The sequence below is a fragment of the Homo sapiens genome, chromosome 13 (genome assembly GCF_000001405.40).
Source record: "Homo sapiens chromosome 13, GRCh38.p14 Primary Assembly".
NCBI lineage: Eukaryota > Metazoa > Chordata > Mammalia > Primates > Hominidae > Homo > Homo sapiens.
The window spans coordinates 108,666,390-108,687,249 of record NC_000013.11 but is presented as its reverse complement, the minus strand read 5'-3'; the positions used below and the strand labels follow the sequence as shown (position 1 = coordinate 108,687,249).

The 20,860-nt window shown below is 40.3% G+C and overlaps 1 protein-coding gene across 5 annotated transcripts in view; it reads right to left on the bottom strand.

The window, feature by feature from the left end:
• Nucleotides 1-20,860, bottom strand: part of MYO16 (myosin XVI) — a 712,290-nt gene that overhangs the window by 520,756 nt on the left and 170,674 nt on the right. The window lies entirely within an intron of this gene.

Here is a 20,860-nt window from a genome sequence, read left to right as displayed (position 1 = left end):
CTGCAATTAGTCTACTAATCTACAGAGAAGTGAGATTTATATTCTAATTATACTTTGCTATGCATATATTTATGCTTAACATAAATCCATATTTAATAACTGCATAATCTTCTTCCATTGTGTGGAATCAGTCATTATATGTGAATCCTTGTTATCTGAAAACAATGCAAAGTTATATAGCTCCCTTTTAAATTTTAGAATAGGCAGCCAAACCAAAGCAGAACCATTTGAACTTGATAATTATTCTTGACCATGGTGGAATCGTAGGGGACTGATGGGGTAAGCAGCCGTTGTTCCAGGACCCTGTCAAGCCTGGGCTGCTGCTGTTGGCTGTACCACCCATGACCCATGCCTTCCCCTGCCTTCACAGCAAATAAACTACTTTCCAGGAAGCATTTCACTCCCCAGTTACACACCACCCCTCTTCCCACTGCTGCGGCATTGTCCTCAGGCCGCTGAACATCCAGATCGACCAGGAAAATTGTTGTCTTTTCTCTTCGTCATGATTTCCAGCACCAATTTTGTAACATTTCAGGAAGTTAGAACTTCCTATGAGTAAAAATAAAAAATTTAGGGAATTATTTTGGTTCAGACATTCGCTCCTCTGGTTTAAGCCCTCAACTAGTTTTAGGAACGATCATTGCCTGTCTCTTTTTGTGACTCTGAATCAGAGTATTCAGAGCTGACGTGTGATCACCTCCATATCCCCTGGCTGGGACCCTGACCCTGTTCTGGCCTGGTGTCATCACAGCTTCCTTCGCTGGATGTGCCGATTGCAGTTCCTGCCCTTATATTCCTACCTGGATCTCAGTTCTCAGTGTAAATATTACAGGCCTTTGTCTTTAAAATACTTAGATATTTTAATACGTGTGATATCTTTAAAGTATTTTTAAAATATGACAAAAAGGATTGCACTGCACATGGAAAGGCCTACTTAAATCTCCTGTAGCAAAAAGTCTGAGTGGCCCAGGCCCCAGCTGCTGTGCGAATCACACATTGACCACACATCACCAGCTGCTCCCAGCCCACTCGACTGAGTATGACAGGGATGCTCATCAAGGCGGCTCCACTCCTGCCAGGTGTGGGATCCTCCCATAGCCAACTCTGCCTGGATGAGGACTACCCCTCAGCCTACTGGAGAATTCTTAGAGCTCTGCTACGTCCTGAAACATTTCCTACCAGGTCTGCTGCTTTCTTCTCTCCTGCTCTGGGTCTATGGGCTGACCTGTGTCTCCCAAAATTCCTGCACTGAAGCAACTTCAGAAAGTGACCGTTTATTCAAAGAGAAGGTCTTTAAGGAGGTTCATGAAAATTCACTGAGGTCATTAGGGTGGGCTCTAATCCAATCAATATACCTGGTGCCCTCACAAATAAGGAGGTTAGGACCCAGACACACAAGGACAGAGGATGAACATGTGAAGACAGAGTGAGAAGACCACTGCCTGTAAGCCAAGGACACAGGTCTCAGAAGAAACCAAACTTCCTGACATGGCACCTAGATCTTGGACTTCTTGCCTTCAGAACTGTTAGAAAATAAATGCCTGCTGTATAAGCTGCCCAGGCTGTGGTATTTTGTGATAGCAGTCTGGGCAGCCATATAGACCGTCAGCAGGATCACACCAGAACGGGATATTTGAAGGCCCTCCCAGCCTCATCTGGGACCTTCCTTGTATAACAAGAACAAACAACTGGTTTTCCTTCTACTACACCTGAAACACTCAACACAAACACTTCTGTGATCACATGCGTAGGTGTTGTGTCCACACCAAGCAATCAGCCAGTGGACACCAGCAATTCCATTCAATTTAACACAGGTAAATACACAGGTAAGGGCTCAGTCCCACAAGACTCCTCCCATTTCAGATGCCAGTTCTGAGCCCCAGGTTGTAGCCAGTACTTCTGACCAACCAGCTACAAATTGGGGTTCTCGGCTGGGTGCAGTGGCTCACACCTGTAATCCCAGCACTTTGGGAGGCCGAGGCAGGTGGATCATGAGGTCAAGAGATCGAAACCATCCTGGCCTGCATGGTGAAACCCCATCTCTACTAAAAATACAAAAATTAGCTGGGCATGGTGGCATGCGCCTGTAGTCCCAGCTACTCAGGAGGCTGAGGCAGGAGAATGGCTTGAACCCGGAAGGTGGAGGTTGCAGTGAGCCGAGATCGTGTCACTGCACTCCAGCCTGGCAACAGACCGAGACTCTATCTCAAAAAAAAAAAAAAAATTGGGGTGGTTCCCATGACCCTCTTCTTGGGTTCAATAATTTGTTAGGACAACTCCCAGAACTCAGGGAAACACTTGACTTACGTTTACCATTTACTATAAAGGGTACTAAAACACAGAGTGATGAACAGCTGGCAAAGAGGCACATAAGGCGGGTCTGGGGCCAGGCATGGAGCTTCCAGGCTCACCAGGCGGCCCTCACAGCTCCCCAGTGTGTTCAGTAATCCGGGAACTCTCTAAACCCCATAGTTCAGAGGTTTTTATGGAGTCTTCGTTACATAGGCATGTTCGCTTATTAACTCAACATCCAACTTCTCTTCCTCCTCCAAAGTTTAGGGGTTGGGGCTGAGAATTCCAAGCTCATAATCATGGCTGGGTGACCAACCCCCAGCCAGAAGCCACCAGGGGCTCCCTTATTAGAACAAAACATGTCCCTATCACCCAGGAAATTCCAAGGGATTAGGAGCTCTGCCTCAGATAGGAACTCTGTGTCAGAAACTAAGGTCAGAGATCAAATATATATACAGATCCACAGATCCACAAATAGACACAGATACAGATATATACACACACAATAAGAGATATATATCTTGTTCTATCACAATAGCACATACCCCCTTTCCTCTTGCTGGTGTTGCCCTCACAGATCTCTTGTATATCTAACCTCCTCTTTGTGTTCACTTCTCAGTGGATCCAAACTAACCCAGGCTTGCTAAAAGGAGACACAAGCCAAAACACACCTTTCATGCTTGAAACAATCTCATAAGATGAAAAGAGAATGCCCTAGGGGTTGCCCCTGCTTGGAATCCAGCCTGCACACCCCTCCTGTGGCATCTAAGAAGGCAACACATCTGACTAGGCGCGGTGGCTCACGCCTGTAATCCCAGCACTTCGGGAGGCCGAGGCGGGCGGATCACGAGGTCAGGAGATCGAGGCCATCTTGGCCAACATGGTGAAACCCCGTCTCTACTAAAAATACAAAAATTATCTGGGTGTGGTGGCACATGTCTGTAATCCCAGCTACTCAGGAGGCTGAGGTAGGATAATCACTTAAACCCGGGAGGCGGAGGTTGCTGTGAGCCGAGATCGCGCCACTGCACTCCAGCCTGGCGACAGAGCGAGACTGTTTCTAAAAACGAAAAGAAGGCAACACATCTTACTCCTTCAGAATCGCCAGAGGCATAAAGCATGTTTCTTCCTATCATCTGTCCCACTCAAAAAAGAAGTTCAGGGGACACACACCAGGGCCCCAGATTCTCAGGCTTAATGCTAAACCTTATCTTTCTACAATTCAAATGGGATGTAAAATTGTGTTTGTGATCTTTATTTTTATTAGAACAAGAAGGTAATTCTTTTTCTTTATAGAATAATTTTCAATTGAGAAGGAAACAGAGGCAGTTGTCAAATCTATGTTGTCCCAGGGTATTCAAAAATGGCTTCCACAATCACGCGGCAGTGCTTAGCCCAGTTAGAGCTTCTCAGATAACACACCAATTCTGCATAAAGCAGCTCATTTATCAGACACAGATTTCCCGCTTGTAAATGCTTCCCATGAGAGTTAGGTCATGGACTATAAGGTTTGGGTATTTTTCTTTCTTTCTTTCTTTTTTTTGGCAAATTGCTAAATTAATCAGTAATTCTTACTGTCTGTCGTCAAAGGCTACTATAGAACAGGAGGAAGGAAGGAAAGGGAAGCTTCTCCTGTGAGCCTGTCACAAGCCAGCAACTCTGCTTGGGATTGTAAATGATTGAGGACATAATCTCACATCTGAGTTGCTTAAAGTGGGAAGGATAAGGCACTTATATCGAGAATTGAATCATAATTGTATAAATAAGTGAATTATAGATCCACAGATAAAATGCCTGTAGGCGTACAGAAGAGAAATACAACTCCTTCAGCTGAGGAAACCAGGGGAGATTTCTGAAGGAGATACTATTTAATTCAGGCATTAAGATGAATAGAATTTAGATATTTTGAGATGGGGGTAAGGATGAGAAACAGAAAGAGGAAACACACAGAGGCCATTTATACAGCACCCTTGACATTAGTGGCTCCATCTTAGAAAAAGACTCTATCTTACATTTCATAAGGCACGTTGCCAGCAGGGATCAGATATTTTGCCTGATCAATAAAGATGCATCCAGCCAGATAAAGACATGACCAAGCACATTCTTCCACTATCAGTCCTAACCAGGGGACTCTTGCCCATAAAAAGAGCAAGACTTCAGCAGCTCGAAACGGCCTCTTAACAGACACTATCTTACTGTCCCTTGTGATAAGCACCCAGAATCTACCACCGAAGGCTCTGCCCACATCACTGACCCTTCCATGCACGACTCATGGTCTGCCCAGGCCAGACCAGGATATTCTTTTTGTCTACATCTCTCTCCCTGGACTGGTTCCTTAACCCTTTTTCTTTCCCCTTGATGTTAAATGTCACTTTGTTTGTTGTGGAATATTTAATCTATAGCATTTATCTATTGATTACATATACTAGTATATATGGTTTGCAATCTTGATTGATGTGTGGAGTGGCTTGAGCCTGTGTGCCCGCGGCTCTGACTACAAGTGAATGGGAAGCACCACCGAGAATTGTCTCCCTGGGAATTCCATGCAGCCCGTGATTGAAGTAACGTCAGTAAAAGCCTGACATTGTGGGAAGACACAAACCTGGGCCTCTTGTTATCTCTGACATTGCACTGCTCACAATAGGCAGAAAATGAACCACTGTATTCAAGGAACGGCAAGGTCCCTATTAGATCATATTCATCATGTTTCTCAACAGAGATGATTGAGGCATTTGGAATGGGACAGGCATTTTTCTGTTTAGCACTGTGCCATAGACTGCACAATGTTTAGCATGTCTATCCCCTGAACGGATAATATCAGTGGTATCCAAGAGTAATTTAGCAAATATGTGAAGTTGAAAACCACTAGAATCTAACTCAAATTGGAGCGTGGTGGGGGTTACTGAAACAGATTCCTGGCCCCACCCTCCAGTTTCTGATTTAGCAGGTCTGTGATGGGGCCTGATCATTTACATTTCTAACAAGTTCTCAGATGAGGAGGATGCCGCTGTCCTGGGAACGGTCTTGGGGCACCATTGTTTATGGAGTATAACATAGAGAAATGGAAAGTCATATTGGAATAATGAGATTGTGGAGGACCATGAATAGCAATGTAGTTATACGGATAAAGAGTCTCTGAAGTCAAATGCCTAACTACATTTCTACATTCCATTCAAGACTTAGAGAGAAACATAAAAGAGAAACATGGATGGCTTTAGAAATCTCTTAGGAGAGAAACAAAACTCTGGCTCTCTCTCTCTTTATTTACCACCCCCACCCCCATAGCTGTGGAACAGCACTACTAGCAGAGTAATAACAAGGAGCACATGTTCACCTTCTTGATGGAAAAAAAAAGAAAGATGAGGAAGATGAGAAAAACAAGACCAATGGGACGGGTATTTATTCTGGACCATAAGCTCCACGAATCAAGAACCTCACCTGCCTTGGCTCAGTACAACCTCCCACACAGAACACAATTCTGGGCACATATATGCCACAGAAAACATATTTGGCAAACAAATGAATGAATGAGAGCTGAAACAACATTGGAAATGAATAGTAGGCAATGGAGAAGGATGATGTAAAAGTTACAAGCATCACTTTAGGCACCGAGTCACATGCAGGGTGAAGAGCAAAGCCTTTTACTGAAACTCCTTAGTGGAGTCTGGAAGGGAGACGTGAAAGACCCATGGTCAGTTTATACAGAGAATATCAAATATAACTATTAGATTTCAGACTGAAGTTTCTAGAAAAAAATAGCCATATTATTGACACACACACACATGTGGGAAAGAGAAGCATATTTTTGTGAGGAAGCAAGAGTGGGTGTGTGGAAAAACACATTCACGTTAGACATAAATGGTTTTACATGCTTGCATGGTTTTTGATTAAAAATGCAAGAGGAAATTTTAGAGCAGTGACCAGACTTTGGAAAAATAAAATTTGGATATGATCCCATGAAAGAGACCAAGACCATGAGAAGGACATTTGACATGTTTGACTCAAAAATCATATTGGCAAGAATTTGTTAATGGCCATTGAGATTTTAATAAAGTCACTATATATGTATAAGAAGTCACTACACAAATGCAAAATATAAGCTACAACACCATTGTTCATGCATGAAATCTGGGACCCTAATAAAGCCCTGAACCTCTCCCATACACTCCCTCATCTCCCCATCTGTAGGCTGGATCCACTGGGGGTCCACAATGGTGAGAGGAGATATGCAATGAAGAAATTTGGGTTCTTACCAACCTTATGCCTCCTTGTCCTATGGCATAGTAGTAAGACCAATTTCTCCATGTGTATAATAACTAGAAACATAAGCTATGGATTAAAAAGTGCCTCAAGGTGTTTTAAAAAGTGGCATTCTTGATTGTGCTCATAGAGCTAATTTTGCTTCTCTCTCTATGTGGATGATTTTTAAAACATGCCAAACTCTATGCAAAGCCTGCATTATAGAGTTTTGGAGAGGTTAATCCAGACACCATGTATTAACCTTGGATATGTGGGCAAATAATAGACTAGACAGCTGGCAATCTGACATTCAATAAGATGAATGGAAAAAACTCATTTATTTTGCATTGTAGAAACAGTTGCTAGCTATCTAGAAATTGACATCTTATGTTAATTTGCAAAACAAATATGCAAAAAATAACATGGACAGTAATTGAAACATCTGTAATATGTGAGAAACTACACTCTGCCAGGCACTGGGATCCAGCCACTTGGATGAGAGCCAGAGCCTGCTCTCATGGAGCCCGCTGTGAGTTCTGGATCCAATGAAGCAAATATTCAATGCCCTGATACACTCTGTGACATCTGCTGGGATTGGAGCAGCTCCAGGCACTGTGGGACCAAACTGGGAGGCAGCAAAGCCTTCTCTGAAGAAGTGCTCTAGGTTCAGAGCTCAGACAGAAACTGGGATCTAAGTGATGAATGGGGATGATCTACACAGAAAGAGCTGCAAGTATTGGGACTAGAACATACAAAGTTCTAGATAGGGGATGGCAGAAGAGGCTTGAGGAGCTGAATGAGCCTAGGTACAGTGGGAAGTGCTGGTGTGAGAGGTGGGCTGGGTGTGAAATGGGAAGGGTGAAGTCTGGTTATGTCAACAATCATTCTGGAAAGATTAAAGATCAACAAGGACTACTCTCTTGAAAAGAAGTTTGGAAACTAAGCATTATTACAAGATTTTTTATTTATTTTTATTTATTATTATTATTATTATTATTTTTTTTTTTGCAGAACCAAGAACAGTACATTTAGGATTATCTTCATTAGAGAGAGAAGAATGGATCTAAGGGAGGACAAGACTGAAGATAATGTGATCAGTTTAGGGGCAGTTGCAATAAACCAGATGCAAAATTATGATGGCCACAACCAGGTCATGACAGTGGGGACTGAGGGTCCCCGTATAATAAAGATGCTTAGGAAGAGGCTCCCTTTACTTATTTGCTCACTGAGCAAATATTATTGATCACCTACTTTGTGCAAGTCGTTGTTCTAGAAGCCAGGGAACAGTATAAACTAAGCAAAGAAAGCTCTTACTCATGTAAACCTACAGTCTCCTGGGAGAGGATAGACAATAAAAAATCAAGGAAATAAAGAATTTGCTTCAAGGTTATAAGTGCAATGAAAAAGAAGGAAGCGGGTGAGTGGAGACAGTGAGAGGGTTGGGTTGATGTAGGTCAGTAGTACAAGCCTCACTGATTAGGCAACATTTGAGTGGAGAGCTGACAGATGCAAATGGTGATCCATGCAGAATCTGGGTCAGCAAGTACAAAGACCCCAAGGCAGGAGCAGGCTAGAGGTATTTAAAGAAAATATTCTTATGTTGAAGCCCAATTCCCAATGTGATGGTACTAGGAGGTGGGGTCTCTGGGAGGTGATTACCTGGGGTTTTCTGTGGGTAGATTGCTCATCAATGGGATTCATGCTTTTATAAAAGAGACCACAGAATGCTCCTTGCCCTTTCCACCCTGTGAGTACCTAGTAAGAAGCTGCCATTGATGAACTGGAAAGCAGACCCTCACCAGACATCAAACTTGCCAGACCCCCGACCTTGGACTTCCCAGCCTGCAGCCCTTTGAGAGCATGAATTGCTATTGTTTAAGCCACTGGGCCTGTGGTATTTTGTTACGTCAGCCCTAGCAAACCAATACAGGTACCATCTCTAGAATTTGCAGAGGGGAAGAGTAACCTGCATGGGAGACTGAGAAGGAAGGATCAGTGAAGCAGATGAAAAACCAAGGAGAGAAAGTCAACTGAAGAAAACAGAGTGAAAGAAGTCAGTGGAAAAGGAAGAAATAATGGAGTCAATGATGCTTGTAGATGAATATGACAAGGTCTAAAAATGTACCCTCTGAGCCTGGCAACAAAGAGATCATTGCTACAGGCAGGTTTGGTGGAATCACTGGGAAAAAGCCTGGTAGGGGTGTTTTCAAGAGACAATGGAAGAGAGAAGTTCGAACTCATGAGTACAGACACCTTCCGAGACGTGTTGGTTATGAGGGAAACTGAAATGAAGGGGAGGTGGTTTGGTTTTCTTTTCTTTCTACTTTGGGAAACATTAAAATTCTTTTCCCCTTCTGTGAATATGATTCTGTTCTGTGGATCATGAAAGGCTGAAAGAGTAATGATCTTGAGAAGGTCAGAGGCACTGGCTCCAGTGGGGCAGTTTTAACACTGTTTGCAAATGCTGCTTTATGAAGCAGTGTTTATGCATGTCCAGTTTTAGAAATTCTCTGTGTATTGAAAAGGCTCAGAGAAAAACCCAGAAAATATATTCTGTTCTGTCCATTCTTGCACTCAGTAAGTGATTTCTCTGATCTTATAAATGGCACGTCTACATCTTCCCTGTAGAACATTTTACTTCTGTGTGTACTATGGTGGCACTGTCAGAGGCAGTGATCATCTACAGATTGTTTTCCAGCTGCACTTGTACACTAAGCAGCAGTCTGGGCTGCTGACAGATTGTGCCTTTTTCCTATGAAAATCACCAGCCAGTTCTTCTTCTTTCTCATAGACTGTTGTGAGCACAATAAATCAGAAAACTCTAGGTTTATACCAGCTATGGCAATACTGTCTAAAACTCGATGGATCGGAGACCTGAGCTGTAGCATTCATTCAGCTAACTAAAATGTTTGCTTTTTTTCAGTTTCAATTTAATCAAAACTTGATGGTGAAGAGACAGAAATGACAGATTTCATGTTTTGCCATTAATCCTTATTAGACATCTGGCTTATGAGAAGGGAGCAGCTCTAAGAAATAACATTGTATGGCGCGAGAAATTGACACAGAGGAAGTGACACTACAAAATCAGGAGACAATTTTTTAATTATAAAGAGCAGAACCCATTATTCATTCCTTCCTTCCCCCTTCCCTAAAATATACAAAAATACTGGGTTAAAATAAATATATATGTGCATGTATAAATACACACAGGTATATGTAAGTATATATACATATATATCATATATACATAGGTACATATATGTACATGTGTATCTGTACCTATATATACACACATATACCTGAATATATATGTATACACTGTATATATACCTGTATATATATATGCATATATATATATATATGCATATATATATATATATATACACACACACACACACACACACATGCATGTGCACCTTATGGGTTCTAGTTCTCTGGAGAACTCTGACTCATACACAGTCTCTGTGCTAGGAATAGAGATAGAAATATCATGAAGTTCATTAGGGCAGGAAAGAAAAATTCTTTCTCACTGTTCCTTTGCTCAAGCTTTTCTTGCTTCCCTGAATCCCCTCCTCCTTCTGCACATCCCCAGCACTTAGAACAGTACATGGAAGATGACAAGGATTCAATAAACATTTGCTACATGAATGAATGAATGAATAATTAAGGAATCCTGATCCTCTTCTTTGCATAACACACATTTTAGTGAAAGATATGGGCTCGCAAACAGAGATTACACTTCAAGGAATTCGTGTTGGCAATGCTGCAGGGGAAGGGCTTCGTGTGTTTCACCTGAGGATGTCGGGGAGGGCTCCGCAGGGGAGAGGAGAGGTACATCTGCAAGGAATGGAGGAAGGGTGTTCCTGGCGGGTTGGGGAATCCCTGGAGCAAAGACACAGTAGACACAGCAGAAAGCAAGTACATTTCCCATTCTGGGAACTGCTGACCCTGGGACTACCAGAGTAACAAACCACGCCTCTCCTCTGGCTTCTGGGGCTGCTGAGGTTTGTCCCGTAACTTGCAGCAGTGTCACTCACTCCACATGGGCTTTGGTCCATATTCTCATGCTGCCCTCCCTCTGTGTGTGCCCACACTCTCCCCTTCTTTTCAATGGACGCAAGTCCTTGGATGGGGACCCACCCTGATCCTGATGACTTATCTGAACTTGATTACATCTGCAAACACTCCATTTCCAAGTCACATCATAGAAGTTCTCAGTAGACATAAATTTTTAACCCAGTACAGTACCTCATAGGATTCTTTTCAGATTAAATGAGACAATATGTATAAAGTGTTTAGAGAGATGGCTGGCACACACACACACACACACACACACACACACACACGCGTACATATAATCACACATTAGCAGAAAACAATGAATAAAAATATTGCTCAGCGCTCCTTAATAATGTAAATTTTTCCCTTTTAATACATTTCCAAAGGTGCTATCAAATTCCTGTTTCTCATTATCTTGTTTACATCAGTGCCCTTAGCTTATGTGTCTATCTTCAGCCTTTTTCCATTTTATCATAATTTAAAATATGATTGCCTAAAACGTTCCTAAAGCTATGCTGTTATTCCTATAATTTACACTCACGGTGACGATCACTGATTATATAACAATGTCATTATTTAGCAACTTTACGACTCTGATAATATCTCTTAATTCAAATCATAATAGTAGCTAACATTTATTATGCATGTGGCAATACATGGCAGATTTCCTTTGCAGGTATTTGCATGTATTATCTAACCAACTAACCTTCACGAGCACTTACCTCGTAACCTTATCTGCAGAAATATGAGGTGCAGAAAGTGCCCTGGCCGGGGACAGACAGCTCTTAAGTATCAGAGTACAGATCAACCCCCAGACTGAACTCCAGAGTTAGATCCTTGATGCTAAACCTAAGTAATGCTGCTTCTATCATGATGTTCTCATATCAGAAATCTGCTTTCTTCCGGCTCCATCGCTGCTCTCACGCTATTGATTACAGCCAAAAAGTCCCTTTCTCTCTTCCTACCAAACTCATAAAATGTTGAAGAGAGCACGGTTTCAGATTCGTGTCATCCTACCTCACCCCAGTGAATGCCCACAGCAACTCCCTTTTAATGAATGGTGCATCTTTCCATCTAGGTATATTTTTTTCCTCTTTTTTCAATTATTCTCACAACACCTATGAAAGTTGTGACTATATAGCAGACAATTAAAATAATATTTCTTAGAAATATGAATTTGTGTTCATGAAATATTAAGCCATACATTCACTTCATACAGGATCCTTCAGAATTTAAATGCAATTAATTTGCAAGCTTTTGTAATTTTATATCTGATTTGGAAATGGGCATCTTTAATTACCTAGCAGCTGTTCCCTATTAATTGAAGGCATCATAATGCACTGAATGTATCTATGTGAAATTCTAACCTGCCCCGGAGGGCTAGAGTCAGCATGTGCCTGCGCTCTACATATTTAACCATACAAATCTCTGATGTAGGTATGTATGTGGAGTTGGAAAACTCACCCTTTTTGTCTAAAATCCAGAAGTCATTCTTTTGTACCTTGTAGCTGCCCCAGCAAACATCTTATCTGAGCTACTTCTTCCTGCATCCTTCCCCTCCTGTGCTAAGTTAAGAGGAAAGGATGAATCCACAGCTTCACATTCAGAGGGCGGTATGTTCCCATCCTATTGAGCAGTTAATGAAATGGGAGTGACGCTGATGAAGCTGCCACTTCCCTCTCTCTGCTAGGCTTGGTGCCACTCTGGAACAGGGAAGATGCAGACAGCACCATGTTGTCAATGTGTTTTTGCTGGGAATGTTGCCTCCCCATTTCTTCCTTAGGACAGGCTGATATTTTATATTTGCTCTACAATCCGAAGTATCTAATATAGGAGACATTCGTAGTGGTTAAATCTGACTCTTTTGGGGAGAGTCTACATACATTCCATGTCAAATACACTCCTAATTTTGAGTTGGAGAAATAGTCATCCTTGCAGAGTACTTAACATACATCACATCCAGTAATGTTCATTTAAAAATGCGTATATGGATCCAGGCTTGGTCATGTTCCTAGTAGATTTGACGGATTCTAAAGGTGGCAGGGTTCTGATTTCAATTTCCGAGGTGTCAGCTTAAATCCGCTTATAGAGCATCGCATTTTCAAACTGCCAATTTATGTAGCTGGTTGTGGGAGGTCAGGGAGAGAGGATAAAGCTGCATCCAATAAAACGCCATCACCACCCCTGTGGAAACAGTGCCAGCCCAGATGGGTCACACTCATAAAAACAGCACTCACTAAATGCTAGTTGTGAAAATTATAACAGGCTCCTTCTATCTTTATACCCTAGATACTAGGAGATAATTTTTTTTTAAATAAGCTTACTTGATAACCAACTACTGTGGAATTTTAACTTCTGAGACAATCTAGTAAATACAAGGAAACAGCTGGACTAAATAATCACAATTAAATGGGCAGTCTTATTTCACTTTTTTATGTGTAAAACACTTAAGGCATATATGAAATTTGTTCTTTGACCTCAGCCTACACTTTTGGGAATGGGGTACATAGGGGAGAGAAAGCTTGGTCCTAATGATTTACCTATGAACTTCTAAATGAAGAGATGTCCAGCCTATCAATGAATACATCATTCAATGTATATTGATCATCGACATATTTTAGGCATCTATTTAGAGGGCTCTGAATGACACGCAGACAGTTGATATGTCCTGTAGATTATTCAGAAGAGGTAAAGCCATCAATACTTTACAAAATTGCACCAAAAATCAAAGTGACTTCAAGGTTTCTGTCCTGGAAGACCAGGGGAGTGATGGCACATCAATGGAGAATCACAGAGGAAGTTTTGGTTTGGGAAGAAGATGAGGGTGGTTATATTCAGCTTTGAACACGACAATTAATAAAGGCAACATCATCAGAAAAGTTAAGACTGGAACTCAGGAAAAAAGTCTCGATACAGATTTAAGATAATTAGAGTGGGTGAGGTCGATGCAGTGGGGGAAAATGAGATCTTCCAGGGAAGATAGGTAGAAACAGAGTTAGAATCAGAGTCTGAGATCAATAGAAGAGGTAACCAACTAAGGAAGCTGGTACAAGGATCTGAGGAGTAGGAGAAGAAAACAGAGGTATCCCAGTGTTACATTTTGATATTTTTCAATTTTCCTAATAGATTACTTAGAATTTTGTGATAAAATGGAGATATAAATAAAGTATGATATTATAGTTCTGTAAATATGCTTACAAGTTCTTTGTGTGACTGGACTGAAACAGGCCCTTAGTAAACATTTGGCATATTAAGTAGTAAATAAATAACATTGCTTTTGAAAAAAAAAAAAAAGGAAGAAGAACGGGGAGGGATTGATCAGGGAAAGAAGATGAAAAACCCCAAAGCATAAAGAATACTTCTCCTGGCCTTTGGACATTCCCTTGACAGCAGGCAGAGAGCTCCACTAGAAAGCAGGAATAAAGAATTTCAAATGGCAAGGAAGGTAAATCAACCTGTGAAGATAAGTTTCTCTAACTATACCACATAAATCACTTTTGCAGTATGACGTTGTCTATAAAAACATGGTCTCTCAACTCAGGAAGCCCTGAGGTAGCAGTTTCTTCTTCAAAGGCTGCATTGCTTCACCCACCAAGTGGGGTGCATGACCTACCTACTTTCAATAACATATGTACCTACTACATATGTTATTGAAAGGAGTAAGTCAAGGCATGTAGAGCTCAGAGAGTGCAGAACATACCTGCAAGGCACCAGATAATAACATCAGCAGTTACTTTTAATGGAAACACATTGTGGACTAATTAGTACGAAGCAATATTTGGGAGTGGCAATTCCAATAGGGGAATTCACATTCCTTCTTAAATTTTCCCTATGTACTTCCTCTCTGATTTTTAAGTCACCCACTCACTCTATTTCTCTATCTCTCTCTCCCTCAGACTTCCCTTTTCTTTCATGTGGCGTAACTCAAATAGAGTTGAATTTACAGCCTTAAAAGAAAATTTAGGACAGTTTTCCTTTTAGAGGGAAAAAGAGTTGTTGAACACATTTTAGATTGATGCAGCATATTAAAATGACAAATTACACACTGAAATATCACCAACTCCCAGAACAATAAAAACATCAAAGACACTAAATTTACACTGACAAAAAAATACATTTATAAAGCAAAAAAAATCCTGAATTACTTTTAAATGACATACTATAAACCTTAACATGAAAAAAACCACAGACATATTGTCCTTTGAAAAAGTATATTTGATTCTTTATACTCAGCCAGCCAATAAAAGTACTTGGAAATAAGAGATAAAATTTCATACAAATATACAATCTGCAAGTTTAAACAATAATTTAAATGGAAACTTTTTTCTTATGGCAATTTTTTTTTACTTTCTCAATTGCATAAACAAGTGCATTTGACTATTTCAATAGCTTAAAGATAAATAAAAATATCACCACTATGAAGTGAAAACTTTTTCTTATGTGCATTTTTGGGAGAAGTAATACATATGCTAGAGACGTTATACTGTTTCTAAAGAGATTACTTTCATTTGCAATCCAAATTTCTTAAATTGTAAGAAATTCATATTTTTCCCCTAGCACAGTGAGGTATATGAGTACTCACGAGGGTATTTCCAAGGTAGATGAGAAACTCAAGGGAAGTAATATATGTATATCCATTATTTTATACTTGGGTCAGCTCCAAGTACCAAATAAATATGCCCTATTACAGATTAAATGTTCCTTTCCCTCAAAAATCATATGTAGAAGCCCTAACCCTCATGTGATGGTATTAGGAGTTGTAGCCTTTGGGAGGGAATTAGGTTCGATGAGTTTATGAGATGAAGTCCCATGATAAGATTAGTGCTCTTAAAAGAAGAGAAATCAGAGCTTCCTCTTCACCATGTGAGGACACAGCAAGAAGGTGGCTGTCAGCAAGCCAGGTACCTTGATCTTGGACTTCCCTGTCTTCAGAACTGTGAGAAATAAATGTCTGCTGTGTAAGCCGTTTAGTCTGTGATATTTTGATATAGCAGACTGAGCTGAACAGACACCCTCTAGAGCCAAATATTTTAATTTTTACATTGCAATAATGCATTTGAAATTATAATAATTGTTACAAATTCAGACTCTTTCATTGAGTTCTAGGAGTCAACTATTTCTTCATCATTTGATGCTGAAGATGACCTTCACTATAGTCCATCACTTCTGCTTCCATTAGTAATGGAAACTATTCACTAAAAGAGATGAAATTATATAGGTTGCCTTGCTGAGGATATTTCCCTCCGATATCTTCAGAAATTTTTGTGTTATTTCTCTCACAAGGCATTAACAATATAGCATATAGGAAGGGTGTATACAGTTTGCTGTGTACACAGAGAAAGCATGCAAAACACATTGTGTGTGTGCACATGTGTATGTTTGTGTGTGGGTGATTGTTTTTGTCTGCTTCCTGTTGTTCCTATCACTTTGAGCACCTTAACATAATCATTACACCATGCAAAATGTGAGACTTTTCTATCCAGTCCTTTCTCTTCTTTGCCATTCAAAAAAGAAACACACAAAAGAGCAATTTCTTAAATAAAATAAAACACAACTAAAAGTTAATCATGTATTAATTCAAATAAAAATTTACTCTCTGCTTCTTTTGAATTGAAAAATCAGATCTGACTGCTTGCTTAGATTTTAGTGTCTTTATACCAATATTCATAATATAAACAAACTGCTATACATAATACACTTATCCATTTATTACACTTAAAAATACATGTTAAGAAAGCCTTGCCAGGCGTCTGTGGTTATCAACAGATTTTAATTATGTAACAAATATTGACTGCCTATTGATAAGATTATATTATATTCCACCAAAATGGCATCCATATATACATGTGAAATAATTTCTGGGAAGACAAATTAAGGACAGATGTATTCTAAAAACTATAGAAAGTTTCAGGATGGGAAACTCTTCATGTCCTAAGAATAAGGACAAAGGAGCAGTGAGTCCATGCCGAACCATTACTGAAATTCTTGAATCACATTTGATCCTTCTTTGTAGTTCTTATTTTTTATATCTTTTTTTCTATAGGTCCCATTTAAAAATATACAGTATTTGCCTTGGTCCATTTGTTCTCCCATACTTGCATGTTCCCTTCTTTGCTTTACTTTCAGTTCATTTTCCACACCCTCACTGTTAGCCAAGGGCCATGGTTCTTTCATTGATTAGTATCAAAACCAGGAGGAGAATAACCACAGGTTCATACCACATCTGCCATTCTCTAGATCAGAAGTTCTCAGTTCTCTCTGTACTCCATAGTCTCCTAGGCACCATTAAAAACCATCCTGGCCCCATATAAGACTCATTACATCAGCATCTTTATGGGCAGTTCTTAGACATGGAAATTAAAAAATAAAATCTTCCCAGGTGATTCTGTTATACAGCCAGGATTGAGAATGACTGCTAGAGGTGATCCCAGCTGAAGCCAAGCCCATCCAGTGGGCAGCTGAACTCATCACAGTATGCATGTGCACAGGCTTGCTCCATCAATTGCCTTCTCTTACTCTAGTGTCACCAGATTTTCCCTCTCACATGAATTATTTTTATTTTATTTTTAATTTTACTTCAAGTTCTGGGATACATGTGCAGAAAGTGCACGTTTGTTACATAGGTATACATATGCCATGGTGGTTTGCTGCACCTATCAACCCATCATCTAGGTTTTAAGCCCCATGTACATTAGGTGTTTGTCCTAATGCTCTCCCTCCCGTTACCACCCATCCCCCGACAGGCCCCAGTGTGTGATGTTCCCCTCCCTGTGTCCGTGTGTTCTCATTGTTCAACTCCCACTTATGAGTGACAACATGTGGTGTTTGGTTTTCTGTTCCTGTGTTAGTTTGCTGAGAATGATGGTTTCCAGCTTTATCCATGTCCCTGCAAAGGACATGAACTCATTCTATTTTCTGGCTGCATAGTATTCCATGGTGTATATGTACCACATTTAATATCCAGAATCTACAAGGAACTTAAACAAATTTACAATAAAAAAACAACCCCATCAACAAATGGGTGAGGGATATGAACAGACACTTCTCAATAGAAGACATTTATGTGGCCTACAAAGCTCATCATCACTGGTCATTAGAGAAATGCAAATGAATTATTTTTATCAGCACATACACTTGCTGTTAATTCTCCCATCATTAAAAAAAGCTCTTAACGTCTGTTCCCTCTTCAGTAATCTTTCCATTTCTCTCCTCTTTACAGAAACCTCCTTTAAAGAGCTCTTTATACTTTCTGTGTCCATTCCTGTTTTCCTACTCTGTACAGAACCTAATCCATTAAAATTCTTGCTCCCAACAAGTCAAGAAAACTAATCACCTCCATACTCCTAAATGCAATGGTCAGTTCTCAGGCTTCCTCCTGCTTGATCAATAAAAATTTCTCCTCCTTGAAAACTCATCTTGGCTCCCAAGAAAGCACCCTCCCTCATTTTCATCCTTTCTTCCTGGTCATTCCTTGTGATTGGACCTCATTTCACTGAATTATTAATATTGGAATTCCTTGGGACTCAGTTCTTAGACTTCGTATCGTTTTACCTAAACTCTTTCTCTACGTCACTTCAACCACTTTTGGGGTTTTCGGTATCATCTATATGCTCATGAGTTTTCAATTTACGTCTCCAGCCAGGATGCCACCCCATCTCATTCACAACTCCTAGAGGCACTCCTACTGTGGCTAATGGCATTTCATTCTTCTAGTTGTCAAGGCCCCAAAAGCTTGATGTTATCCTGGAATTCTCACTCCCTGTAGTAGGGAGCATTTTGGCTGTCCCGATTTCACCCTCTGGAGTTACATCTGCGGCTATGCAAGATGATCTGGAGAAAGGGATGCATGGTTACTAGTGAGCTGCCTCTGGAACAGGAGATGAACCTGCATAGCCCAGGAGAGCCCAGTGTCATCACATAGGCCCCTAAAGGTGCAAGAGGGAGGCAGAAGATTCAGTCAGATACAAGGATGGACAAAGAAACAGGCAAACTGAAGCGTGAGAAGGAGCACTGTCCCTGCCCCGTATCCATCACTGTTGATGTTGGAGACGGAGGAGGGGGCTCTGATCCAAGGAAGGCAGGTGGCCTCCGGAAGCTGGAATTGTTGAACCAGTGCTGATGACACCTTGTTTTCATCTCACCGAAGCCCATACCTCACCTCAGACCTACAGAACTGTAAGGTAATACTTACGCTGTTTGTCACTATTAAATTCGTGATAATTTGTTTTGGTAGCAATAGAAAATCAATACACTCCCTATAGCCAGGTAATCAGCATTTCCTGTCAGCTCTATCCTAAAAATAAATCCTAAAATTGACTATTTCTCACCACACCCTAGCTCCGCTTGGGTCCAAGCCACCATCATCTCTTGCCTAGCTTGCCACCAGAAACTAGGTTGCATAGTTTCACACCTACAACATCTGCTTAGAAAGCATTAATTCAGATTGTATGACATGAATGTTTGGGGAAACGTAACTTATATAATAACTGCTTCTTGGCTTTTTAGTTAGTAATTTACTACTATGAGTTTTCTTTTAACCCTAACCTAAACACAATGGTGCACTGTAGATATTTGGTACAAGAAATTTTAAAACATTTCCAATACATTAAAAGAAGTGTTTTTGAGACAGGGTCTTGCTCTGTTGCACAGATTGGAGTGCAGGTCACCATCATGGCTCATTATATCCTTAATCCCCAGGCTCAAACAATCCTCTCACCTCAACTCCTTGAGTAGCTGGGCATGCACCACCAGGTCCAGCTAATTTTAAAAAATATTTTGTAGAGATGGGGTCTTGCTATGTTGCCCAGGCTTGTCTCAAACTCCTGGCCTCAGGAGAGTCTTCCACCTATGCCTCCCAAAGTGTTGGGATTATAGGTATGAGCCACCATACCTGGCACCAATTATTTTTTGTGTTTTGTTACTTTTAAATCAAAATAGGGCTTAAATTTTAAGATCTGCTTTCTTATTTAAGTTTGTTGTAACAACTACTGTGTGTTGAACAAGAACCAATCACTTTACTCTCTTTTGCTCAATGCTGCTGGAAGGTATGAGATGGGCAGGAGGGAGCAATGACCCTAATGGGCATTCTCCCTACCTTCGATGTGCTCACAGACTCACAGAGGAGATGGCCATTCAATGAACAGCCATAGGTGAGAAGAGAATAATAAAATGAAAGATCAGAGTGCTCCAGACAGCTTTCCAGAAAATATGATACAATGGCTGAATTTCAGTTCCTTCATGGGTAAAGTAAGTGGATCACACCAAATGTTTTTAGGTACTTTCCAGCTCAAAGATTCACTGTTACTGTCATTGCAGTTTAAGACAAAAAAAAAAAAAAAACAAAACAGAAATTCTCAGAATATTACAGTTTAACTAGAAAAAGCCCATACAAAACCATGAAAAAAATGACTTGAGTCTTCTTACCATGTATAACTATTATTGTATATAATGTGCTATAGGTTTTCTTAGCTATAGATCCACAATCCCCATTTGAAAGCCTTCAAAGCACATATGTTATTGAATTTATTATTTTTCCAAACTGAACAGGTTATAAACCATAAGTAGGTCAGTGAAAGTTTTGCCACTAAATGAGCTATCAAAATAACGGCTTCGGAGCTTTTTGGATTCCAAATTGTGAGTAATGAATTGTGAAGATGCTCATTTTAGATTCATCCAAATACTGATTTGAGAGCCAGTCAAGGTAAATTGATTTATATCTGTTTCTTTGAAGCCTTGTACAATTACAACAATTACATCCAGAGCTGGAACATTTATCTCACATTTGAACTTGGGAAAGTGGGTTCTATATAGGAAAACAGAAAAATTCACATACAAGAGTATATAAAAAGTGAAAAAATTTAACAGTCTTGTGAAGACAATTGAGATTTGCATTGGGTAATCTTAGAAAAACATGATACCACAAGCCAAACAACTTTAAGGGAGAAAAGAAATTGACTCCTGAGAGTCGGGGAAAGTGACATTACTGCTGCATCTATCAAAGCATGAGCTAAGGATGAACAAATTCCATAGCCCCAAATCATCATCAGGAAAAACAATTCTCTGTAATTCCTGCACTCTGGGAGGCTGAGACTGGAGGACTGCTCGAGCTCTGGAGTTCGAGACCAGCCTGGTCAACATAGTGGGACCCTGTCTCTATAAAAATTTTCTAAATAGAAAAAAAAATTCATTGATAAAAAGTTTCCCTAACAATTAGAATTAAACAATTGGAAAGGAACTCACTTGCTTTACTGATAGCTAATTCTTTAAAAAA